General features: G+C 37.3%; 1 protein-coding gene and 1 pseudogene across 3 annotated transcripts in view, besides 1 other annotated feature; one reads left to right on the forward strand and one right to left on the reverse strand.

Annotated features, from left to right (window-relative positions):
* Window positions 1-27,713, reverse strand: part of UBA6 (ubiquitin like modifier activating enzyme 6) — an 88,504-nt gene that overhangs the window by 23,731 nt on the left and 37,060 nt on the right. For all 3 annotated transcript variants that reach the window (NM_018227.6, XM_017008359.3, XM_047415893.1), the window contains exons 11-19: window positions 27,503-27,565; window positions 26,757-26,833; window positions 25,807-25,873; window positions 12,686-12,829; window positions 10,342-10,409; window positions 9,556-9,634; window positions 8,316-8,396; window positions 4,769-4,846; window positions 2,561-2,742 (exon numbers count right to left, since the gene is read on the reverse strand). In NM_018227.6, the coding sequence (NP_060697.4) occupies window positions 2,561-2,742; window positions 4,769-4,846; window positions 8,316-8,396; window positions 9,556-9,634; window positions 10,342-10,409; window positions 12,686-12,829; window positions 25,807-25,873; window positions 26,757-26,833; window positions 27,503-27,565 (839 nt within the window). The remainder of the gene's footprint in view (window positions 1-2,560; window positions 2,743-4,768; window positions 4,847-8,315; window positions 8,397-9,555; window positions 9,635-10,341; window positions 10,410-12,685; window positions 12,830-25,806; window positions 25,874-26,756; window positions 26,834-27,502; window positions 27,566-27,713) is intronic.
* Window positions 1,636-1,977, forward strand: LOC107986207 (small EDRK-rich factor 2-like; annotated as a pseudogene).
* Window positions 1,993-2,042: a silencer, noted in NCBI's record as "silent region_15463". NCBI's record gives its function as "represses an Ori minimal core promoter by ATAC-STARR-seq in GM12878 lymphoblastoid cells {active_cell/tissue: GM12878}" and the evidence as "EXISTENCE:reporter gene assay evidence [ECO:0000049][PMID:35858748]".

The following is a 27,713-nucleotide window of genomic DNA, read 5'->3' on the forward strand; positions in this document are numbered from 1 at the left end:
GCTCCCGCTCCCCACGGTCTCCCTCTCCCTCTCTTTCCATGGTCTCCCTCTGATGCCGAGCCGAAGCTGGACTGTACTGCTGCCATCTCAGCTCACTGCAACCTCCCTGCCTGATTCTCCTGCCTCAGCCTGCCTAGTGCCTGCGATTGCAGGCGCGCACCGCCACGCCTGACTGGTTTTCATATTTTTTTGGTGGAGACGGGGTTTTGCAGTGTTGGCCGGGCTGGTCTCCAGCTCCTAACAGTGAGTGATCTGCCAGCCTCGGCCTCCCGAAGTGCTGGGATTGCAGACAGAGTCTCCTTCATTCAGTGCTCAATGTTGCCCAGGCTGGAGTGCAGTGGCGTGATCTCGGCTAGCTACAACCTCCACCCCCCAGCCGCCTGCCTTGGCCTCCCAAAGTGCCGAGATTGCAGCCTCTGCCCGGCCGCCACCCCGTCTGGGAAGTGAGGAGCGTCTCTGCCTGGCCGCCCATCGTCTGGGATGTGAGGAGCCCCTCTGCCCGGCTGCCCAGTCTGGGAAGTGAGGAGCGCCTCTTCCCGGCCGCCATCCCGTCTAGGAAGTGAGGAGTGTCTCTGCCCAGCAGCCCATTGTCTGAGATGTGGGGAGCGCCTCTGCCCCACCGCCCCATCTGGGATGTGAGGAGCGCCTCTGCCCGGCCGCGACCCTGTCTGGGAGGTGAGGAGCGTCTCTGCCCTGCCGCCCCGTCTGAGAAGTGAGGAGCCCCTCCGCCCAGCAGCCACCCCGTCTGGGAAGTGAGGAGCGTCTCCGCCCGGCAGCCGCCCCGTCCGGGAGGTGGGGGGGCAGCCCCCACCCGGCCAGCCGCCCCGTCCGGGAGGGAGGTGGGGGGCAGCACCCGTCTGGCCAGCCGCCCAGCCCTGGAGGGAGGTGGAGGGCAGCCCCTGCCCGGCCAGCCGCCCCGTCCGGGAGGGAGGTGGGGGCCAGCCCCCACCTGGCCAGCTGCCCCGTCCGGGAGGTGGGGGCGCCTCTGCCCAGCCACCCCTTCTGGGAAGTGAGGAGCCCCTCTGCCCGGCTGCCACCCCGTCTGGGAGGTGTACCCAACAGCTCATTGAGAACGGGCCATGATGACGATGGCGGTTTTGTAGAATAGAAAAGGGGGAAATGTGGGGAAAAGATAGAGAAATCAGATTGTTGCTGTGTCTGTGTAGAAAGAAGTAGACATACGAGACTCCATTTTGTTCTGTACTAAGAAAAATTCTTCTGCCTTGGGATGCTGTTGATCTAATCTATGACCTTAGCCCCAACCCGGTGCTCTCTGAAACGTGTGCTGTGTCCACTCAGGGTTAAATGGATTAAGGGCGGTGCAAGATGTGCTTTGTTAAACAGATGCCTGAAGGCAGCATGCTCGTCAAGAGTCATCACCACTCCCTAATCTCAAGTACCCAGGGACACAAACACTGCGGTAGGCCACAGGGTCCTCTGCCTAGGAAAACCAGAGACCTTTGTTCACTTGTTTATCTGCTGACCTTCCCTCCACTATTGTCCTATGACCCTGCCAAATCCCCCTATGCGAGAAACACCCAAGAATGATCAATATAAATAAATAAATAAATAAATAAATAAATAAAAAGAAATTTAGGCTGAAACTGAAAGGATGAAGAAAAAAAGCTAAACTAGATGAAGAGTAGATAGGTAGATTAGAGATCAGGAATGTTAAAGCAAGAAAAACAGAACTTCCTGAGGCTGAAGAATACTGTGTGCAAGTCTCTAAGGTAAAAAAGTGCTGAAGGCCTGGTAAGGAAAAGGCACAGACAGAAGGAGGGGTGGCAGGTCAGAGCTGCTGCGGGTAACCAGCATGAGCTTGCCTGGTAGAAGAACATGAAAAAACAGAAGAATATGCAAACAGTTAAGGGAAAGTGCCAAGAAGACAGACTTTCTGCTGCTGCCCACAAGCAGAGGGACCTGAAGACCATGCAGCTGAAGCAGAAAAGGGAAAACGAGAAGGAAGAACCTAAGTAGCTTTGTGGTTTGGTGTCCACCCCCGTGCCCTTCGCCTCTGTGCCTGAAGCCAGTCCCACCATGCTCACGTTTCCTCCTCTAGTACTCACAGGACCCAGGACTGATGGCATTCCCTTTGCCCTGAGTTTGCAGTGGGTCCTTTTTGTGCTTCCTTCTCAGGTAGCCTTTCTCTCCTGGGGCATTTCTGGGGGTGAAGGAGTTACTCCTTCTATGTTTTCTATTGCAGTGGGACTCACCCCAAAGTATTAAAAATAGCTTTACAATTCAGAAAAAACAAAAGACAGCCAAAAAACTGAAAGGCACATACAGCTAGAATAAGGGGAGCCAAGGAAGACTGGTAAATGTTACTCTGGCATGGTGAACAGGTGAAAAGTACTCCATGAAAAACATTTAGGTTATGTTACAGATTTTGAATTTCATTCTAAGTATAATGAGAAATCATCAAAGGGTTTGTGTTTGAGGAGTACTACAATAGGAACATAAGGAATAATCAGATAATTCCGTAACTTTTCAATAAGTAATGTGGGAAACAGAAGTGAAAACTAAAGACAATTCTGTAGGAACATGAATTTCAAGAACATACCTGTCTACGTATCTCCTGGCTTCCACATTATCTAATGCTGTAATAATTACATCTTGTTTAGTATAGAACTCATCATTGTAAATGGTCTCAGTGGTTGGACATACTTTGTTCAGGTGTGCATCTATCTTTATTTGAGAATTTATTTTCAGAGTAGCATCAGCAGCAGTGTAGCTTTTAGGTTTCTAAACAAATAATATAAGCAGAAGGAATATGTTAAACAACAAAAAAAGGACTATGATTTTTCTATATATTCCAGAGTGATAAGAATGTGTAAGTTCAGTCATAGTCCATACATATATAATGAGAGTAATGAGACCAGTTTTCATTTTTGGCTTGTAGAAATTACATTCACTGTAATCACACTACATTAATAATGCACATTAGTCCAAATAATTTACAAATTATTAATAAAAATCTAAACACCTTCTATCTTATAGTTAAGTACTTTACAGTTCTTAAAAAAAGTTAAAAATCCAATTACAATTTTTCCCTAGTAATGATGTTTGACTTGGTAAGTGCCTAGAAAAAAATGAGAACACATTCAGTAAAACATTGGAAATCAACTCTGCAGAAGATAAGTTCTTAGAGGTATGCGAGTTGAATACTTTGGTACTAACATATTTTAAAATTATTATTTCTGGATGGAAATATTTTCAGAAATTATTTGTGTTCCATTTTATAAAAAACAGTCCAGTAGTTCCTCATCTGCCTTCCACAACCCCCCAAAATGCCTAAAACTACAGACAGTACCAAACCCTATATATACTATGTATTTTCATATACACACATACCTATGATAAAGTTTAATTTATAAATTATGCATAGTAAGAGATTAATAACAATAAAACAATACAATCATAACAATATACATTAACAAAAGGCATATGAATATGGTCTCTCCCTCTCAAAATACAGTATCTTATTGTACCACACTGTACTCACCTATTTTCAGATCCTGGTTGACCATGGCTAACTGAAACTGTGGCAAGCAAAACTGGATACTGCTGTAAGGGGTACTACTGTACTCTAAATATAATTTATTCTTTCTTTTCTTAAAAAGATTTAGTGACTATTTTTAAATCATGATTGTTATTTCAGGTGCTGTCACTGTTCATCTGCATTTGCTTTGGCATTAAATATCTTTAGGCCATTCTGTTTAAATTCACACATCTAGTTTTAACGGTATTTCTGTCTCTTCTCACATTCTTAGGCTGACACATTTCACTTATTAGTGTTCTAAGTGTACAAACAAATCAAAACTTTGTTAGAACTCAGTAAAATAAGAATGAACAGGACTTTATAGTTCTTCTCTAAGTAAAATGCACCAAGTTAAGCAAATACACTTTGCAACATATTTTAGTTCACAACGGACCCTGTTACTTTGTCTATTATATTTGGATAAGCAAGGCAATTAGATTAACTATGACATCTGTTTTAGTTACTTTCTGTTCATGACATTACTAAGCTTAGTTTACTAAGACTTGCAATGAGTTGTTGAACAATAAAGAAAAAACTTCTTTTTGTTTTAATTTTTTTAAAACTTTTTTTTAGGGTAGAACTGGTTTTTCCCTAGGTTGCCCAGGCTGGTCGGGAACTCCTAACCTCAAGCAATCCTCCTGTGTTGGCCTCCCAAAGTGCTGGGATTATAGGCATGAGCTATTGTGTCTGGCTAAACATTCCTAAAGTAAAAGCAAATCTGCTTGACTTAAAATGCTTTCTTGCCTGACTTAAATATTTTGATTTATATAAAAAAGGAGAAAATTGAGAACAAGCATTATTTTACAATAAAAACGGATGTTGGTCAAACGATCAAAAGAGCACAAAAATTCTAAGTGCTAAACTTTTATCTGATTTATGACAAAGATAAAAAAAGACACTGCCAAATTTGCTACCAAAACCTCAAATTAGAAACATATTTCTATATACTTCCTTTCTAAAATTGAATGAATGTCAACATACCCTGGTGATTACAAAATGAAAAAAATACTGCCTGTTTCACAACTCAGGTTTCAATTCCAAAATCAATGCAAAAATCAATATTGTGCATTAAATAATTTAATATTTTCCCTTTTGTCATTTCCATTAATTGATAATTTGAAAGTTTCTAATAAAATAACACGATTGTTCAATCACTATTTTCTATTTATTAAAAGGAAACTCTTTTTTGTATAATACATGATTTAAATTTGAAACAGAATAGCAACATACCTGTATGTGATGAGGACGAAATAGGAACTGTCTATTTAAGTTGGATTTCTCTATCAAGTCAGGATCTGTAACTGTAATCTAATATCAAGAAAATATGGCTGAAATTACATAATGGATACCTTTTAATCTATTTTTCTTTTCTCAGTATGACTAAAAAAGTCCTGACAAATTATTCTAAATTAGTCTGGTTGGTAAAGGTCATAATGATACAAACATTCCCAAATAGTTACCAATACTACTCTTTTATGTTTTATTTAATTGTAATTAATGTTTTACATAGGAGCACATCAAACAAAATAGCTGAGGCCAATTGCAATTCCTGTTCAAAACTTTTTTCTAATTATTCATAACAAAACAAAACTTTTTAGAACTATGAAATGGATTACCTGCAGAGGAGCTAGCTCTTCTTTCTAAACTGGTATTTATTCTTAATCTCAACTAATTTGGGAAGAATGCTTATATGTATCAATTTGAAAGGAACTCTGGCTAAAGCAGAGGCATACAAACTTTGGTCTTGAACTCCTAACCCCCTAATTAGGCATGCTGCCTATTTTTGTAACTAAAGTTTTATTGAAACACTGTCATACTATTTAAGAATTGTCTACCGCAGTTTTCATGATCCTAGGGGCAGAACTGATAAGTTGTGACAGAGATCTTTGGTCTGCAAAGTTGAAATATTTGCAATCGTGTCCTTTAAGAAAAAGTCTGCAGACTCATTCTAAAGGACGCAAGATGAAAGTAAACTCAAGATCATCTGAAGAGTATTCAAAATGCATTTGCCACTTTAGCATTTTTAAACAAGATTTGCCTAGATGTAGAATGTCTCCGACTATATTCCACATTCATTTTCTTTTAGTTGTTATTTCCCTGATATTTTTAATATTTCTGTGTAATTATGTTAGGGAGTGTCTCTTTTAATGGAAAAAAAATCAAACAGAAAATATCTTTTAACAAAAAAGCTTAATCAATTCATTGTTCACTGATATTAAGGCTTTTTCTTTCTACCTCCTCCAATTCTGCTTTTCATTCCCCTGTATTTTTGCCTTGTACTGGACTGACCAAGTTTTCTTGATTCCTACTGCCCCCAACTCCCCAAACTGGTTTAGAAGCTAAGTGCCTAATGTTATGTGGTTATGCTCAAAATTTTAACATGCTTATGTGACTTAAGATCTAAAATTTATTAAAATTTCTATCTTCCTGAAAACCGAGAATATCTAAATCATTTAATTTGGAACTCTCCAGTCTGCTTTCCATGAGATCAGTTACACTTAAAACTTTTAACCATCTCACTCTAAGGTTTTAAAAAATCAATACTCATGTAAATCAAAGAATGCTGACAAATGCCTCTATATACCCTTTACACACTGCCCACACAACCTAACATCTTTCAGTAAGAACCAATAAGTGGTAGTAATCTTTCATCATTTTATTTGTCAGCTATCTTTACTTTGCTCTCCCTCTTGAACTGAGTATAGGTTAATAGTAATTTTCCATTACACTATGAAGATATGCTTCCATTATCTTCTATTTATTGCTGACGAAAAGTCTATTATGCAATCTCTTTTTTTAATCTTTGCTTTTGATTTGTTTGGTACTAGTTTATCTTTCCAATTTGAAAACACTTGTCTTTCTTTAACTCTGGGAACTTTTGTCATTATCTTTGGAATATATTGCTTCTTCTCCCTTATCTTTATCTCTGGAAATTCTACTAGACCTATGTTGGACCTTGCAAACGCACTTCTTTCATTAAAAAAGGATATCTTTCTGCACTACATTCTGGGTATTTATATTTATCTTCGATTTGTCCATTCTCACCTCAGTTATATTTAAATTTTAATATTAGCGATTATACAGAAATTCTTATTTGGCTTTATGTAAAAATTTCAGTGCCTTTTTTTCCCGTTTCTAGCTCTCTTTATCTCTGATCATTTTTAACTTTAAAGTTTGTTCTATTTTCTGTAAAATATTCTATTATTCACCAGCATGGCACAAGTATATATATGTAACTAACCTGCACATTGTGCACATGTACCCTAAAACTTAAAGTATAATAATAATAAAATAAAATTAAAAAAAATTCTATTATTGGTAGCACTTCTATCATCTATAATTCTTAGGAGACTAATTCTTTTATTTGCCATGGCTGATTCTTGTGGTGGTTCCCTTTCTAGTGAATAGTCATTTTTTAATCTGAATTGTCTTTAATGAAGGCTGACTTTTTCTGCATAGTCCTGAGTGTGTTATTATCATCATGATGCAGTTTTACATTTGCTTTAAAGGCTGTAAGTTTTAGTGGTCTTAAATTTGTTATATTCCGTTCTCTGCTTTAAGTTTTATATGATATAATTTTGGACCCCTTACCCTGGTGTGGTACATGCTCTGAGTTTCAATTTCTCATTAGTGACTTCTGTTTTTACTTAAAGTTTTGGACAAACATTCAAGATAGAAACACTTGTAAGTACCCATGGCTTTCAATTTAGGATTTTTTCTTCTCTCTTGGTTCCTGGGACCTGGGAATTTCTCTTTTCAGCTTGGCTACATTACACTTAAAAAAATGTATACAGTAAGTCTGTGTTTCCAGTAGTATAGAAGCATGTCCACATTAACTTATCTTGTTTTGTTATCTGAAGTCAGTAGGTTTCTTCATTACAGTTCTTTTCCTGACCTTTATATGCTAATGTGCATCATGAATTTCCAAGGAGTTAAAGCATTTAGGTGATTCCTAAACTGATGTAACCAAAGACTTTCTTCTTTTTAAAATCAACACAAGTAATAGTGGTTTGTGAAGCAGTATTTAGGAAATGTTAATATAAACATAGAACATCTGCCTGTTAACTATGATAGTAATGTATGATCTTTTGAATTGGAATAATAAGCTAAGTTTAATAAACTTTTATAAAAGGTGATCCATCATATAAATTTTAGCCATTTAATCAGTCTTCTGTTAGTCACCTTGATATATCTATGAAATCACTAATGGAAGACAGTTTATCTTAAAAGGCAAACAGCACCAGTGAAATAAATTTCTATTTAAATATATGACATGGCTTGCAATTAACTCACATTTAGAGTCTTAAGAATTTAAATTGTACACTGAGCTTTATATTTTTCCCACTACTTTTAATACTCTTTAATTGAAACTACATCTGAGTCCTCTGCAACTTTGTAATGTTAGCTTCAGTTATCTTAAACATTTAACAATAAACACTATCTAACAGAAATAACAACATATTTTATAGCTTGCAAAGCCCTTTCACATTTGATCATCACAATAACGTTATGAGATAGGTAGTACAAATGTCAGTTTCACAGTAGTAGAGAAGGAAACTGAGAAAAGAATTAATTTGCTACAAGGGGAAGAGAAGTAATTTGCTACAAGGTAACATAAGTTTTGAAAAGTGGTCAGAAGGGCATGACAATCTTCCAATTTTTAGTTTAATGCTCTATTTTCAAAAAACTGATACTTCAGATTTATGCAGTCAAATATAGCTGAAAAAGGGCAACAACAGAAATATAAACTTTTAACTCTCAAGAATTGATATCTTACCATTCCTTTCTCTTTGCTTGTGCCAACACCAAGTAAAGCAAAATTTTTCAACATTTCACAGCCTATGGCTCCACACCCTACCTATGGAGGAGAAAAATGGTATATATCAGATTAAAATAACCTATCTGTGAATCATTTTACTTTGAAATATTTAACAGGTTTATTTTACCACTGTTTCAACGAAAAAAAAAAGTATAAACCAAATAAGGAAAAGCATAATTGTACAATTTCTTTAAACAGAAGACATTTAAAAATTCCAAATAAAATTTAAACATTGAACTGCTTATGTAAGATAGAAATAAACACAATATAATGTTAATACAACATTTAAAAAAAAGATTCCTCCCTTTTGGACATTTCTCAAAACTCATTTACTGAATAAAACTATTCTAAGACTTCTACTATTATCTAAAATTGATAATACTAGATTCCATATGCATGTAAAAAGCTCAGTAACAGTTGATTTTCAAAACATTATTTTAAAGATGATTAATAAGAATAAGCAGTAATTTTCAGGGCTAATTTTAATAATTAAAACAATAAATGGCAGGGAGAGTTGTTTTATGTTATTGGGGAAAATTTCCCTGCCAATGCACTAAGACAATTAAGAAATACAGAATAGGCTGGGTGAGGTGGCTCACACCTGTAATCCCAGCACTTTGGGAAGCTGAGGAGAGTGGATCATGAGGTCAGGATTTCGAGACCAGCCTAGCCAATATGGTGAAACTCCGTCTCTATTGAAAATACAAAAATTACCTGGGCGTGGTGGCACGCCCCTGTAGTCCCAGCTACTCGGGAGGCTGAGGCAAGAGAATCACTTGAACCAGAGGCAGAGGTTGCAGTGAGCCGAGATCATGCCACTGCATTCCAGCCTGAGTGACAGAGCGAGACTTTGTCTCAGAAAAAAAAAAAAGAAATACAGAATACACTTCTATATTCCTTCATTTAGTGAGAAAAAAATTAAAAACCCACCAATTTTCAAACATATTTCTAGAATTTAATTTTTGAAATTATCATACTCATACTTTTACTTTAAAGATATTAATTAGACCAGAGGATGGAAAACTTTTTCTGTAAAGGGTCAGACAGTAAACAATTTCAGCTTTATAGGCTGCAAGGTCTCAGTTATTACAACTACTCACCTGTACTCTACACACTTAGACTCAAATTTGTTTTAATGAATTAAGTTGATATACGATAGCAGTTTGAACATACTATTCCCATGATTATTGATACTTACTAAGAAGATGTTTAAATTTTGCAGTTTCTGACACAAAGTGTCTCCAATGCAAGCTCTTAAGGCATCATATCTATCTCCTCTGAAAAAAATAACATATACCAAAAAGCAGAAATAAAAAACATTAAAATTAGTTTCACTGTCATTAATACCAATTTAATGTTGTACTTTAAAAGGAAATATTCTTTAAAAGTTTCCCCTAACCAATCTTAATTGAAAAAGAAAAGCCTCCATAAAGAAATCCATTTTTCCTTTTTCCACTTGGCTTAATAGTCTAAATACAAATGACTTAAGTGAAGGTGACTTTGGTTTATCTAGAAAAAAAATTTTCCTAAGCCAGAGATTTTTAAGGAAAGTTCTTAGAGGAATCTACGGATGGGCTTTGGAGCTGATAACCCACTTAAATCAAAGGCAGAAATTTGGGTTATGTGTATTTTAGGGAGAATAATTCTAAACTTTTCATTCTCAAAAAGATTTATGACCCAAAAAGGTGAAGAATTACCTATATAAATAAAGACTGCAGATAGCAGTTTTTTTCCATCTAATGTCATTATGGTATTTTAAATGCTAACCATTCTCATGGGATACAATTTAAAACTTTGCATTCACTATTTATCAAGTAGTAAAGAGATATGACATTATTATGACACTTAAAATGATTCCTAAGTAGAGAAAAAACAACTACAAAAGTGATTTGGGAGAAAAGACACATAAAACAAAGGTATGTTTAGACAAAACTTTTAAAATCTATTTGCCTGTTAGTAAAAGCAAGAGAAATTTCATTATTACCGTGGGAGAAATTCTTCACATTCAGGTTTGCCTAGTGATTCAACAATATCTGCTGCTTCAAGATATAACTTAAAGTAGAAGATTAAAAACACAATTATTATGTATAAAACAAATTACTATAAAAAGAAGCTCCTTTATAGTTATTTAATAGTCATGAAGAAAAAAATGATAAAATAAGGCAATTCAGAGTAAAATATTTAAAAATATAATTAAAAATATATAATATACATTTCTATATCTCTCATTAAAATAATGGTAAAGCCTGAAGGAACTGTTGACAGATATAATTTGATTCATGTCACTTAGCCATCACAAACATGATGTATCCTAATTTTAAACCAAAGGAAATTTCACCTCCAAATCTATTTTTCATAACTACACAAAAGCTTTAGAAGCCCCCATTCAATTTCAGCTACATTTGAATAAGCAACTTGATTACTTTTTGTTTTTTGTTTTTGATTTTTTGAGACAGAGTCTTTCTGTTGCCCAGGCTGGAGTACAGTGGTGTGATCTCTGCCTCCTGAGTTCAAGTGATTCAGCCTCCTGAGTAGCCAGGACTATAAGTGCGTGCCACCATGCCTGGCTAATTTTTTTGTATTTTTAGTAGACATGGGGTTTCACCATGTTGGCTAGGCTGGTCTTGAACTCCCGACCTCAGGTGATCTGCCCACCTCGGCCTCCCAAAGTGCTGGTATTACAGGCATGAGCCACTGCGCCCAGTCATAATTTGATTACTTTTTGAGAAGAAAGTACCTACTCTGTATTTATTTTTCAGCTTGGATATATAATCTATAATTATACATACTATGTGTATGTGTATGTCATCTATAATTTCACACACTATAGGAAAATAATCTAGGAAACCAAAATTTCAGCATTTTTAAAAATACCAAAGATAATTAATTTAAGTTAATGAAGAAAAGAACTGAGTCTTAATCTCATTTTCATTTAAGTAACTTGTGTGGCTAAATTTGAACATGAACAAATGGTTATTTATTTTATTATAACACAGAATCTATATTAACAATTAATTTCTATTATTTCTCATGGTGTTTTTTTTTTTTTTTTGAGACAGAGTCTCACTCTGTCGCCCAGGCTGGAGTGCAGTGGCACAATCTCGGCTCACTACAACCTCCGCCTCCCAGGTTCAAGCGATTCTCCTGCCTCAGCCTCCCGAGTAGCTGGGACTACAGGGGCGTGCCACCATGCCCGGCTAATTTTTTGTATTTTTAGTACAGAAGGGGTTTCACCATGTTAGCCAGGATGGTCTTGATCTCCTGACCTCGTGATCTGCCCGCCTCGGCTGCTCAAAGTGCTAGGATTACAGGCATGAGCCACTGCGCCTGCCTTAACGGTCATCTTTAAACCAGATTTTTACTAATGTACTTGTATTCTGTGTTGAAATAAATAATTCAGCAGCAAAAATAGCATTATGTGAGTACCTTTTAAAATATAAAAAAATGAGCCGGGCGCAGTGGCTCACGCCTGTAATCCCAGCACTTTGGGAGGCCGAGGCGGGTGGATCACGAAGTCAGGAGTTTGAGACCAGTCTGGCCAACATAATGAAATCCCATCTCTACTAAAAACACAAAAAGTTAGCCAAGTGTGGTGGTCTGCATCTGTAACCCCAGCTACTTGGGAGGCTGAGGCAGGAGAATCGCGTGAACCCGGCAGACAGAGGTTGCAGTGAGCTAACATCGCGCCATTGCACTCCAGCCTGGGTAACAGTGTGAGACTCTGTCTCAAAAAAAAAAAAAAATTAAAAAAAAAAGATAAATGGTATATTCAAAATGTTTATGGTGTTTCAACAGAGAGAGGGCCTGGAGGCAGTATCCTTTCACACCTTGTGCCAATTATTTCTGCTGGCAAAAGAAATGGGGATTTTTATTCCATCTTGTGATGTTCATACCCCATGTAACTCTAAAACCTGTACCACTCCCATGTTTTCCACTTTTGTAAGTTTATACCTAGAAAGGGAACCTGAACGTTCATGATAGTAAAAGATTCCATGGAACAAATTCAAGAGTCCTGAGAGCCCGAGAATGCTAAGCTTATGGTACTGGAGAACAATTACCTATAAGGATAGAACATTCATTCCCTTACTATCACAACTAAGGGAAATATATTTGAGAAGGCAACTTTGGGTTATATCTCAATAGCCCTAAAATATCATCCTGTTAATTTCAATCATAGAATCAAGTGTTGGAGGCATACTGCTTGCATCTCTTTCATGCATCAAAAAGTATTTTAAGGTCGCTTTTCTAATATATTAATACTACATTATAATATGTAACACATTCCATTTCACGAGTAAAGAATTCAACTTTAAAAACTCAGAACTAACCCACTGGCACAAAGGAGAAAATTTTCCTGTTACAGCTTTCAATACTTCTTGGCTGGCAACACCTCCTACTGCTGCAGCAAGTGGAGATAAAAAGCCTTGGGCAGTCCAAGAGAGCCAATGCACAATGTCAGCATTTACATCAGGCTAAAACAAAAGCCATAAAAGACAATAACATTAACAGCATTTACACAGTACACTTAAAATTCCAATGACTAAATGTGAGAATTAGAACTTAACTTCTAAAAAAGCTATTCAGTTCCCCTACTAAATATCTCTAAAAATGTCCCAATTTCATGATAACAGACCCATTTGCGTGTTACCTTAAGTAGTGTCTCCCTTTACTAGTATCTGCCCATTTTTGTCTTTGGATTCTATATGTCACTCTAGGGCATCATTTATAATTAACTCGAATATCTACCATTTATAGTTTTTGTCAAAGAACAGTTCTGTGATGCCAGTCAGACATATTTACAAATAAACAGATTTTTTTTAATTTAAAAAGTTTGTTAATGAAAACTACTATGAAAAAACCCTGAACTATGATAAAGGAAAATAAAATGATCTTAAAAATGATAAGCTATCAGTTTGTGTTGAAAGTTGTAAATAAAAACTGCAATTAATAATAACACAATACACTTAGAGATAATGTTTTCAATTACACTTAAAAGTTATGTATCTCAAAACAGAACATTTTAAAGGAAATATTGGAAAACTGAATTTTAGATCTATTATTTCAGCAATTTCTTATATGTGACAAAGATCTTTTCACGAGCCCTGTTTTCTTTCTCTTCTTATTCTTTAAACATTAGTAATCTTAATTTTATCACTAAACTTCAAGTTTGCCTAATTAATCTTTTGAAATCCTATGTAAAAGAAGAGTTCTTGTACACAGAGGAGAGGACAGAGAAGAGTTTTTATTACACTCTCAAAAATATTTGTGACACAAAATGGTTACTACTTACTATTCCACCCCTCCATTTCAACTTTCTATATCTCATTATTTACAACTATTGAGCACTAGCCTCAACCAAGATCAATTACAATTTAAATTCTGCAATTTTTGAATGCAGATATTGTTGGTGGTGATAATATTAAAAACAATGATGAGAATGATAATAACAGTATAAGTGGGTACTTACCATGCCAGGTTATCTATTAAGTCCTTACACAACCTTCAAAATAATCCTTATAAATATAATTTCTATTATACAAGTAAGAAAACTGAAACATTGAAAAATTAAGTAACTTATTCAATATTTTATAGCTAGTAAATGGTGAAGCCAGGATCTGGACCGAAAAAGTCCAACTTTATAGGTTTATTCTCAGCATTAGGTTATGCAACCTCCCAGGATTCCTTATTTTTTAGTACACAAACATCTAAATTTTGGGAATTTTTGGTTACCATAGGATAAAGACGGCAGCCTATAGCTAAATTTCCCCAAATAATCTCCAAAACATATGCATAATCACAAGAAGAGAAATAAAACAGTGACAGGGCTTCAGTATTACTAGAAAACAGAATATTATAAATTTCAAATTACTTGTAAGTAGAAAGACAGATTGCAAACTCCATCAGCACTCTCTCTGGATTTCACATTGTTACAATCTCGGACAGAGAGCAGAAAATACGAAGAGATCACAGAAGAGAGTGAAAGGCCTTATGGTAACAAAACACAGTCCTAAGAAAAAGAAAGACCCACACTAAGTGCAGAAAATATTGATGAGAGGTATAAAACTGGTGGCAGATATCAGCTGTCAAAGAATGTCATCCTGGGAGAGAAAGATGTAAACAAAAGAGGGGAGACATTCTTTGAGAGAGAAAGCTAAAGAGAGAGATGTTAAGAGTTTGGTAAAAATCAAAGAGACCTACAAAACACACCAATACCTCTCCACCACAAAAAGGTCATCCATTAGAAGCTCCTTTTCAGTATCCTAAGAGAAGAGAATACTACAAAAGTAGGAATCTAAAAAGCACCTAAAACCCTTATCCTGTCCAAAAAGTAAGCACAAAAAGCATTCTACTTTACAAAGCTAATGTAAGAAGAAAACAGAAAACCAGAATCAAAACATTTCAGCTACTGAAAATCCACACCCCCACAACTAACCAAAAGTCAGAGGATATTTAAGTGAATTACATATTCTTAACAAGCACTTGGCAACGTAGGGGAAAAAAACAACACAAAAAACCTTGAATCAGGAATTTAAAAACTAAGAACAGAAATGATCCATTCTACCCTTCCAGAAAAGAAAAGAAATACTTAAACAACATTTGACTCTGCATATCAAAATGGGCTTATGGTGTACGTAAGAAACTTTACTGAATAATCAACTCTGAGATATAACCTGGTAAAACTATTAGATGAAGACAAAGATTAAACACATAGGGCCTTAAAGCAAAAAGACCAGATTACTTCTAACAGTATGAAAATTCGGCTGCCATCTGATTTTTCAACAGTAAAATATAAAGCAAGATACCAGTGAACAAAGTAAGAGCCCAGAATTTTACATCTAGCCAAGCTTACAAGTATGAAAACTACAGAAAAAATATGAAACATATAAAAACTCAGGGAATACCATAATTCTGAGCTCTTTTTGAGAAACAGACTAAACCTGACTTCAAGACTTAATATAAAAGCCACAATAAGCAAGACAGGATGGAGCTGGCAAAAGGACAGAAACAACATGAAGACAATAGAGTACAGAAATAGACCTACATATATATGGTTAAAAAAAACTGTTGACAAAAATGCCATGACATTTCAATAAAGAATAGCCTTTTCAACAAATGGGCTAGAATAGCTGGACATTCATACACAAAAAAATTAACTTTCATCTATACTTTGTGCAGTATATAAAGACAAACTCATAAAACTACAAAAGAGTGCATAAAATTAGTGTAAAGTCATGTACACTGATCTGTACTTTGTATGATCATGTCTTTATCAATACTTTGCACCATATGCAAAAATGAACTTATAAAATTACAAAAATATGAATTGTCTAGAAGAAAACAGCTTTTTGACCCTGTGTTAAAAAAGCTCTTAAGACAAAAAAGCACAAACCACAAAAAGTATTCTTTTTGTGATTTGATAAATTGAATTTCAGAGACTATTGTAAAACACGTATCTGATAAAGAACTCATATCCAAATATATAAAGACATATAAAAACCCTCTCAACCAATAATTAAAAGCTATTTTAAAAACAGGCAAAGATTTCAAAAGACAGTTTATTAAAGAAGACATATGAATGGCAAATAAGCATATTAAAAGATATTCAAATTCATGGCCAGTGATATGAAAATGAAAACCAAAATGAGATACTACCACACACATAAAAATGTTTAAAATCATATAAACAGACAACACAGAGTGTAAGGAAGATGCAGCACAACTGAAATTCTCATACACTTCTGGTGAGAATACAAAACGGTACAGCTACTTTGCAAAACAGTTTGGCAGTTTCTTATAAAATTAAACATGGTCTTGGTCCTCCCAGATGGCCGAATAGGAACAGCTCGTCTGCAGCTCCCAGCGAGATCGATGCAGAAGACAGGTGATTTCAGCATTTCCAACTGAGGTATCTGGTTCATCCCACTGGAACTGGTTGGACAGTGGGTGCAGCCCATGGAGGGCGAGCCGAAGCAGGGCGGTATGTCACCTCACCCAGGAAGCACAAGGGGTCAGGGGATTTCCCTTTCCTAGCCAAGGGAAGCCATGACAGACTATCCTTGGAAAAACGGTACACTTCCGCCCAAATACTGCACTTTCCTCACCATCTTAGCAACCGGCAGACCAGGAGATTCTCTCCTGTGCCTGGCTTGGTGGATCCCACGCCCATGGAGCCTTGCTCACTGCTAGCGCAGCAGTCTGAGATCCACCTGCGAGGCTGCAGCCTGGCGGGCATACAGGTGTCCGCCATTGCTGAGGCTTGAGTAGGTAAACAAAGCAGCTGGTAAGCTTGAACTGAGTGGAGCCCACCCCAGCTCAGCAAGGCCTACTGCCTCTATAGACTCAACCTCTGTGGGCAGGGCTTAGCTAAACAAAAGGCAGCAGACAACTTCTGCAGACTTAAATGTCCCTGTCTGACAGCACTGAAGAGAGCAGTGGTTCTCATAGCATGGCGTTCAAGCTCTGAGAACAGACAGACTGCCTCCTCAATTGGGTCCCTGACCCCCATGTAGACTGACTGGGAAACACCTCCCAGTAGGGGCCGACAGACACCTCATACAGGTGGGTGCCCCTCTGGGACGAAGCTTCCAGAGGAAGGATCAGGCAGCAATATTTGCTGTTTTGCAGCCTCCGCTGGTGATACCCAGGCAAACAGGGTCTGGAGTGGACCTCCAGCAAACTCCAACAGACCTGCAGTTGAGGGGCCTGACTGTTAGAAGGAAAACTAACAAACAGAAAGGAATAGCATCAACATCAACAAAAAGGACATCCACACCAAAACGCCATCTGTAGGTCACCAACATCAAAGACCAAAAGTAGGTAAAAATACAAAGATGGGGAGAAACCAGAGCAGAAAAGCCAAAAATTCTAAAAACCAGAGTGCCTCTTCTCCTCCAAAGGATTGGAGATCCTCGCCAGCAACGGAACAAAACTGGATGGAGAATGACTTTGATGAGCTGACAGAAGTAGGCTTCAGAAGGTTGGTAATAACAAACTTCTCCGAGCTAAAGGAGCATGTTCTAACCCATTGCAAGGAAGCTAAAAACCTTGAAAAAGGGTTAGAAGAATTGCTAACTAGAATAAACAGTGTAGAGAAGACCTTAAATGACCTGATGGAGCTGAAAACCACAGCACGAGAACTTCACGATGCATGCACAAGCTTCAATAGCTGATTCGATCAAATGGAAGAAAGGATATCAGTGATTGAAGATCAGATTAATAAAATATAGCAAGAAGACAAGATTAGAGAAAAAAGAGTAAAAAGAAATGAACAAAGCCTCCAAGAAATATGGGACTATGTGAAAAGACCAAATCTGCGTTTGACTGGTGTAACTAAAAGTGACAGGGAGAATGGAACCAACTTAGAAAACACTCTTCAGGGTATTATCCAGAAGAACTTCTCCAACCTAGCAAGGCAGGCCAACATTCAAATTCAGGAAATACAGAGAACAACACAAAGATACTCCTCGAGAAGAGCAACCCCAAGACACATAATTGTCAGATTCACCAAGGATAAAATGAAGGAAAAAATGTTAAAGGCAGCCAGAGAGAGAGATTGGGTTACCCACAAAGGGAAGTCCATCAGACTAACAGCGGATCTCTTGGCAGAAACCCTCCATGCCAGAAGAGAGTGGGGGCCAATATTCAACATTGTTAAAGAAAAGAATTTTCATCCCAGAATTTCACACCCAGCCAAACTAAGCTTCATAAGTGAAGGAGAAATAAAATCCTTTACAGACAAGCAAATACTGAGAGATTTTGTCACCACCAGACCTGCCTTACAAGAGCTCTTGAAGGAGGCACAAACATGGAAAGGAATAACTGGTACCAGCCACTGCAAAAACATGCCAAATGGAAAAGACCATTGATGCTATGAAGAAATTGCATCAATTAACGGGCAAAAAAACCAGCTAACATCATAATGATGGGATCAAATTCACATATAACAATATTAACCTTAAATGTAAATGGGCTAAATACCCCAATTAAAAGACACAGACTGGCAAATTGGATAAAGAGTCAAGACCCATCAGCGTGCTGTATTCACGAGACCCATCTCACGTGCAAAGAGGCCCATAGTCTCAAAATAAAGGGATGGAGGAAGATCTACCAAGCAAATGGAAAGAAAAAAAAAAAAAAAGCAAGGGTTGCAATCCTAGTCTCTGATAAAACAGACTTTAAACCAACAAAGATCAAAAGAGACAAAGAAGGCCATTACATAATGGTAAAGGGATCAATTCAACAAGAAGAGCTAACTATTCTAAATATATATGCACCCAATACAGGTGCACCCTGATTCATAAAGCAAGTCCGTAGAGACCTACAAAGACTTAGACTCCCACACAATAATAATGGGAGACTTTAACACCCCACTGTCAACATTAGACAGGGCAACAAGACAGAAGGTTGACAAGGATATCCAGGACTTGAACTCAGCTCTGCACCAAGTGGACCTAATAGACATCTACAAACTCTCCACCCCAAATCAACAAAATATACATTCTTCTCAGCACTACATCGCACTTATTCTAAAATTGACCACATAATTGGAAGTAAAACACTCCTCAGCAAATGTAAAAGAACAGAAATCACAACAAACTGCTCTCAGACTACAGTGCAATCAAATTAGAACTCAGGATTAAGAAACTCACTCAAAACCGCACAACTACATGGAAACTGAACAACCTGCTCCTCAATGACTACTGGGTAAATAATGAAATGAAGGTAGAAATAAAGATGTTCTTTGAAACCAATGAGAACAAAGACACAACATACCAGAATCTCTGAGACACATTCAAAGCAGTGTGTAGAGGGAAATTTATAGCACTAAATGCCCACAAGAGAAAGCAGGAAAGATCTAAAATCGACACCTTAACATCACAATTAAAAGAACTAGAGAAGCAACAGCAAACAAATACAAAAGCTAGCAGAAGGCAAGAAACAACTAAGATCAGAGGAGAACTGAAGGAGATAGAGACACAAAAAACCCTTCAAAAAATCAATGAATCCAGGAGCTGGTGTTTTGAAAAGATCAACAAATTGATAGACTGCTAGCAAGACTAATAAAGAAGAAAAGAGAGAAGAATCAAATAGATGCAGTAAAAAATGATAAAGGGGATATCACCATCAATCCCACAGAAATACAAACTACCATCAGAGAATACTATAAGCCCCTCTATGCAAATAAACTAGAAAATCTACAAGAAACGGATAAATTCCTGGACACATACACCCTCCCAAGACTAAACCAGAAAAAGTTGAATCTCTGAATAGAACAATAACAGGTTCTGAAATTGGGGCAATAATTAATAGCCTACCAACCAAAAAGAGTCCAGGACCAGACGGATTCAAAGCCGAATTCTACCAGAGGTACAAGGAGGAGCTGGTACCATTCCTTCTGAAAGTATTCCAATGAACAGAAAAAGAGGGAATCCTCCCTAACTCATTTTATGAGGCCAGCATCCCCTGATACCAAAGCCTGGCAGAGATACAACAAAAAAAGGGAATTTTAGGCCAATATCCCTGGTGAACATTGATGCAAAAATAAAATACTGGCAAACTGAATCCAGCAGCACATCAAAAAGCTTATCCAACATGATCAACTCGGCTTCAGCCCTGGGATGCAAGGCTGGTTCAACATATGCAAATCAATAAATGTAATCTATCACATAAACAGAACCAACGACAAAAACCACATGATTATCTCAATAGGTGCAGAAAAGGCCTTCAAAAAATTCAACAGCCTTTCATGCTAAAAACTCTCAATGAACTAGGTATTGATGAAACGTTACCTCAAAATAATAAGAGCTATTTATGACAAACCCACAGCCAATATCATACTGAATGGGCAAAAACTGGAAGCATTCCCTTGGAAAACTGGTACAAGACAAGGATGCCCTCTCTCACCACTCCTATTCAACATAGTCTTGGAAGTTCTCGCCAGGGCAATCAGGCAAGAGAAAGAAATAAAGGGTATTCAATTAGGAAAAGAGGAAGTCAAATTGTCTCTGTTTGCAGATGACCTGATTGTATATTTAGAAAACCCCAACATCTCAGCCCAAAATCTCCTTAAGCTGATAAGCAACTTCAGCAAAGTCTCAGGATACAAAATCAATGTGCAAAAATCACAAGCATTCCTATACACCAATTATAGACAAAGAGATAGCCAAACTGTGAGTGAACTTTCATTCACAATTGCTACAAAGAGAATAAAATACCTAGGAATCCAACTTACAAGGAATGTGAAGGACCTCCTCAAGGAGAAGTACAACCCACTGCTCAACGAAATAAAAGAGGACACAAACAAATGGAAGAACATTCCATGCTCATGGATAGGAAGAATCAATATCATTAAAACGCCCATACTGCCCAAGGTAATTTATAGACTCAATGCCATCCCCATCAAGCTACCAATGACTTTCTTCACAGAAGTGGAAAAAAACTACTTTAAAGTTCATATGGAACCACAAAAGAGCCTGCATAGCCAAGACAATCCTAAGCAAAGAGAACAAAGCTGGAAGCATCATACTATCTGACTTCAAATTATACTTTAAGCCTACAGTAACCAGAACAGCATGGTACTGGTACCAGAACAGACATAGAGACCAATGGAACAGAACAGAGGCCTCAGAAATAACACCACACATCTACAACCATCTGATCTTTGAGAAACCTGACAAAAACAAGAAATGGGGAAAGGATTCCCTATTTAATAAATGGTGCTGGGATTAGCCATATGTAGAAAGCTGAAACTGGATCCCTTCCTTACACCTTATAGAAAAATTAACTCAAGATGGATTAAAGAATTAAATGTAAGATCTAAAACTATAAAAACCCTAGAAGAAAACCTAGGCAATACCATTCAGAACATAGGCATGGAGGAAGACTTCATGACTAAAACACCAAAAGCAATGGCAACAAAAGCCAAAATTGACAAATGGGATCTAATTAAACTAAAGAGCTTCTGCACAGCAAAAGAAACTATCATCAGAGTGAACAGCAACCTACAGAATGGGAGAAAATTTTTGCAATCTACCCATCTGACAAAGGGCTAATATCCAGAATCTACAAAGAACTTAAACAAATTTACAAAAAAAAAAAAAAAAAGAAAACAAAAAACAAACAACCCCATCAAAAAGTGGGCAAAGGATATGAATAGACACTTCTCAAAAGAAGACATTTATTCAGCCACCAGACACATGCAAAAATGCTCATCATCACTGGTCATCAGAGACATGCAAATCAAAACCACAATGAGATACCATCTCATGCCAGTTAGAATGGCGATCATTAAAAAGGAAACTACAGATGCTGGAGAGGATGTGGAGAAACAGGAACGCTTTTACACTGTTGGTGGGAGTGTAAATCAGTTAAACCATTGTGGAAGATAGTGTGGCAATTCCTCAAGGATCTAGAACTAGAAATACCATTTGACCCAGGAATGCCATTACTGGGTATACACCCAAAGGATTATAAATCATGCTACTATAAAGACAAATTCACACGTATGTTTATTGTGGCACTATTCACTATAGCAAACTTGGAACCAAGTAGGTAGGGTAGGTATATAAGAGAAACAAAGATATATGTCCACATCAAAATCTATATGCAAGTATTTGTAATAACTGTATTCATAATTGCTCAGACTGAAAACAGCCCATATCTTCCATCAAGTGATGTAAAAACAAACTGTAGTACATCTACACAATGAAACAGAAAACCAAATACCACGTGTTCTCACTTAGAAGTGGAAGCTAAATGATGAGAACACATGGATACACTGAGGGGAACAACACGCACTGGGGCCTACTGGAGGGTGGGAAGAGGGGGCGGAAATGACTAACAGGTACTAGGCTTAATACCTGGGTGATGAAATAATATGTATGACAAACCCCCATGATGCAAATTTACCTATATAACAAACTTGTACATGTAACCCTAAAGTTAAAAGTTAAAAAAAATGAAATGAACATGTAACAAAATGGATAAAACTCAAGTTAATTATATTTAGTGATAGAAACCAGACTCAAAAGACTACACATACTATATGATTCCATTTATATGACATTCTAGAAAAGAAAAAATCTATAGTGGATGCTAAGGTTTGGTTATGGGCTAGGGAGGTAATTATAAAAAGGCCTGAGGGAACTTTTTTGCATTACGGAATGGTTTACATTTGATTGTAGTGGTGGACCCATTACTGTACACTTTGAATTAACTGCGTACATCTGAATTGATTGTGTACAAAATTTTTTATAACTACACACCCAAAGAGTGAAAAATTTACTTTATGTAAATTTCCCATCAATAAACTTGATAAATCCCTAATCACATTCTTCTGTTTAATCACAGACTTCTACAATCTATTTCTAGCTTTTCATACATTTTATTTTCTCAAAGCACTATATATGCAATAAAAGGTCTTTCATTATGGCTAGTGAGTCACTGTTTTCAGTACATTTATTATTTCTTTCTTTGTGTAATTATAGAACATATGATATTAAAGCTTTTACCACTGATGTTAAGACTCTCACTTCCTGAGATGGTTTGGCTGTGTCACCACCCAAAATCTCATCTTGAATTGTAATCCCCATAATCACCACATGTCAAGGTGGGACCAGGTGGAAGTAACTGGATGGTGGGGGTGGTTCTCCCATGCTGTTCTGATGATAGTGAGTTTCACGAGATCTGACAGTTTTATAAGCGTCTGGTAGATCCCCTGCTTGCACTCACTCTGTCTTGCCACCCTGTGAAGAAGCTGCCTGCTTCTCCTGTGCCTTCTGCCATGATGGTATAGTTTCCTGAGGCCTCCCCAGTCATGTGAAACTGTGAGTCAATTACCTCTTTCCTATATAAAATACCCAAAACTGGGTATTTTATATAGGAATATATAAAATACATATATTTTATATAGCATATGCAGTGTGACAACAGACTAATACAGTAAATTGGTACTGTAGAGAGTGGGGTGCTGAGATAAAGATACCCAAAAGTGTGGAAGTGACTTTGGAACTGGAAAACGCAGAGGTTGGAATAGTTTGGAGGGCTCGTAAGAAAGGAAGATGTGGGAAAGTTTGGAACTTATCAGTTTTGACCAAAATGCTGATAGTGATATGGACAATGAAGTCCAGCCTGAGGCGGTCTCAGATGGAGACGAGGAACCTGTTGGGACTAGAATAAAGGTGACTCTTATTATGCTTTAGTAAAGAGACTGGTGGCATTTTGCCCCTGCCCTAGAGATCTGTGGAAAGTTGAACTTGAGAGAGATGATTTAGGGTATCTGGTAGAGAAATGTCTAAGCAGCAAAGCATTCAAGGGGTGACTTGGGTGCTCTTAAAAGCATTAAGTTTTATGCATTCACAAAAAGATGGTTTGGAATTGGAATTTATGTTTAAAAGAGAAGCAGAGCATAAAAGTTTGGAAAATTTGCAGCCTGATGATACAATAGAAAAGAAAAATCCATTTTCTGAGGAGAAATTCAAGTCAGCTGCAGAAATTTCCATAAATAACAAGCAGCCAAATGTTAATTGCCAAGACAATGGGAAAATGTCTCCAGGGAATGTCAGAGGTCTTCAAGGAAGCTGCTCCCATCACAGACCTGGAGGCCTAATAGGAAAAAATGGTTTTGTGGGGTGGGCCCAGGGCCTTGCTACTTTGTGCAGTGTCAGGACATGGTGCCCTGTGTCCCAGCTGTGGCTAAAAGGGGCCAATGTACAGCTCAGGCTGTTGCTTCAGAGGGGACAAGCCCTAAGCCTTGGTGGCTTACACATGGTGTTGGGCTGTGGGTGCACAGAAGTCAAGCGAGATTTGGGAACCTCTGCCTAGCTTTTAGAGGATGTATGAAAACACCTGGATGTCCAGGTAGAAGTTTACTGCAGGGGTGGGGCCCTCATGGAGAACTTCTTGCTAAGGCAGTGCAGAAGGATAATGTGGGGTTGGAGCCCCCACAGAGAGTCCCCATTGGCACTGCCTAGTAGAGCTGTGAGAAGAGTGCCACAGTCCTCCAGATCCCGGAATGGTAGATCCAACGAAAGCTTGGACCATGAATCCGGAAAAGCTGCAACACTCAATGCCAACTCATGAAAGCAGTCGGAAGGGGGGCTGTACCTTGCATAACCACAGGGTGAAGCTGCCCAAGACCATGGGAACCCACCTCTTGCATCAGCGTGACCTGGATGTGAGACATGGAGTCAAAGAAGATCATTTTGGAACCTTAAGATTTAATGATTGCCCTATGGGATTTTATAGTGCATGGGGCCTGAAGTCCCTTTGTTTTGTCCAATTTCTCCCATTTGGAATGGAAGCATTTATCTAATGTCTGTACCCTCACTGTATCTAGGAAGTAACTAACTTGCTTCTGATTTTACAGGCTCATAGGTGGAAGGGACTTGCCTTGCTCAGATAAGACTTTGGACATGGACTTCTGGATTAATGCTGGAATGAGCTAAGACTTTGGGGGACTGTTGGAAAGGTGTGACTGTGTTTTGAAACGTGAGTACATGAGATTCAGGGGGTACCAGGGATGAAATGATACATTTTGGCTGTGTCCCCACCCAAAATCTCATCTTGAATTGTTATCCCCATAATTGCCACATGTCAAGGGCAGGACCACGTGGAGGTAATCAGTGAGTGATAGTGAGTGAGTCTCATGAGATCTGATGGTTTTGTAAGAACCTGGCAGTTCCCCTGCTTGTACTCACACTGTCCTGCCACCCTGTGAAGAGGTGCCTGCTTCTCCTTTGTCTCCTGCCATGATTGTAAGTTTCCTGAGGCCTCCCCAACCATGAGGAACTGTGAGTCAATTAAACCTCTTTCCTTTACAAATAACCCGCCTCAGGATTTCTTCATAGCAGTGTGAGAATGGACTAATACAGTTCCCTCTCATTTTTATAAAATAAGAACAAAAATAATAGAATCTTCAAATAATTGCACAAACATCACCATGTTTATAGCTGCTCAAATAAAACTGTTGACAAGCAGGCACTGGCATCATAACACACACAAAAAAACCATTTTCTAGGTGAAATGTTTAAATCTAAATCTGATGTACGAAATGTGATAAAGAGATATGAATGTATAATATATAAAACAGGTGACTTATATAAGAAAGCTAACATATATAAGTTTAAGTTAACAAATCAAGTAAATCATAACAGAATAATAAAGAATAATAGTAACAGTTAAAAAAATAGCAGCAAATATTAATTACTATATGTCACATGGCATTTCTAAGTACTTTACAAAATTAAATTATTTAATGTTCACAATAACCCTATGAAGGTAGGTTAACTCTATTTTATAGATTTATAAATTAAAACAGAACAAACTGAAAAAAGTTGTCTAATGCCACAGAGTAGCAAAGCTGGATGTGAAGGATAAGAGAATACTAATATACAGAACACTTATGTATTAACAAACAAATATTCGGACAGCCATAAATTTCAATAGTCACCTTCTCTTCCAAGGTTTCACTTATAGATGTTGCTAGTTTCAACAGTTCTTCTGAATCTTGTTGGCATCTACAACTCAAAACAGAACACCCTAACTTTAATTTTCTCAACTGCCATAAACAGTAGGACATACTCAAAATTAAAATTTAGGAAATATATAAAAGAATGTGGGATTTTTGCCAACAGGTAGCACAAAATGTTGTACTGATTTAAAGATGATTGGCTTATAAATACATTACTTCAAAATCACACTTATATCAGTATATAAATAAGTTTAGTTTTTTTTGTTTTTTTTTTTTTGAGACAGTCTCACTGTCACCCAGGCTGGAGTGCAGTGATGCAATCTTGGCTCACTGCACCCTCTGCCTCCTGGTTCAAGCGATTCTTGTGCCTCAGCCTCCCAAGGAGCTGGGATTACCGGCATGCACCACCACGCCTGGTAATTTCTGTATTTTTAGCAGAGACAGGGTTTCGCCATGTTGGCCAGGCTGGTCTTGAACTCCTGGCCTCAAGTGATCCACCTGCTTCAGCCTCCCAAAGTCCTGGGATCATAGGCGTGAGCCACAACACCCAATCCCAAGATTTAATCCCAAATATAAAAAGCAAAAACCTTCTCCAACAGTACTCTGACTTAACAGGATATAAAGTTAAAAAAAAAATTACTATGTGTTAATAATTCAGTAATTCTCAGAATTTTTTTTGTTTTAAGAAGCTTTAATTTTTAAAGGCTTCAAAGTGGAAAAATTCACATTTAGTATGATTCCACTTTTATAAACCAAATTTCTCCACTCCCACCAGGAAAAGGACCAGAAAGTCATAATAAATGTTTGCACAGCTTGGTATATCTATTGGTATTGTAATTACAAAGGGCATAGTTACTTTTTAAATTATAATTTCTGAACTACTACTTTTATAAAAAGGAAAATACTTATTTTTAAACTTAAAACATTACCCAACATTTGGCTTGCGACTGTATTTCTCCTGAAACTGGTCCAAGGCAAGCATAGCTGTGTGAATCTCTAAAGGTGCCTATTGAGAACATTAAAAATCGGCCAACATTTACTGAGTGGTTGTATGTCCCAGGCACTGGGCTAAATACTTTTAAAACATTATTTAACCATCATAATAAACACATTAGCTTAATACTGTTATTAACTCTATTTAACAAATAAGAAACCTGAAGGTTAGAAGTTAAATGACTTAACCTCAAGGCCATGAAGGTAAATGATCTAATCCCCTTTCCTTATTAAAATTTACAAATTTGGAAACTGTTAGTTCCTTCCTTATCACATTTACTGCTACAAAATTACATCCATTTTAAAAAAAAATAGAATACATACTCAAGGCTTTTTTGGTAAGAAATATGTATTGTATAAAATGGTACGATTCAGAAAATCTTTTAATAAGATCATCTTTGTACAAGTTATTGAAATCGTCTTATAATTATCAAAGTTGGCAAATCATTATAAAAGTGAAACTTTTTCCTATTACTTTATCATTTTTTTCTATGAGACAAATTCACATTTTTAATCCTCAGAAGTCAACTTTAGATATGTGAGTATAACCTTTATTATACTCACATTATAAGGCCCGACAGCCAGATACCTACATGGTTATTCCATTTTAACTTCATAATCACTCACTAATTCTCATCTCTGATTCTGCTGCCTCTCTCAAACCTGCAAAGTGTTTATTTACCTCAGGGTTGCTAAAATCCACAATAAGGCACTTTGGATGTTTTAACTGCCTCTCCAGTGATTCCTGATAGGAAGGAAAAAGTCATTACTTCAGAGTGAGTGAGTGATTATTTGACAAAATATACTGTTACATGTCAGTGCGCTAAAAACTAGGGAACTCTCCCAAGGGTCTGAAATAAAGTAGGGTTGGGCTGGTATGTTTTAACTGAAAT

Source organism: Homo sapiens, chromosome 4 (assembly GCF_000001405.40).
Source record: "Homo sapiens chromosome 4, GRCh38.p14 Primary Assembly".
In the NCBI taxonomy this organism is placed as follows: domain Eukaryota; kingdom Metazoa; phylum Chordata; class Mammalia; order Primates; family Hominidae; genus Homo; species Homo sapiens.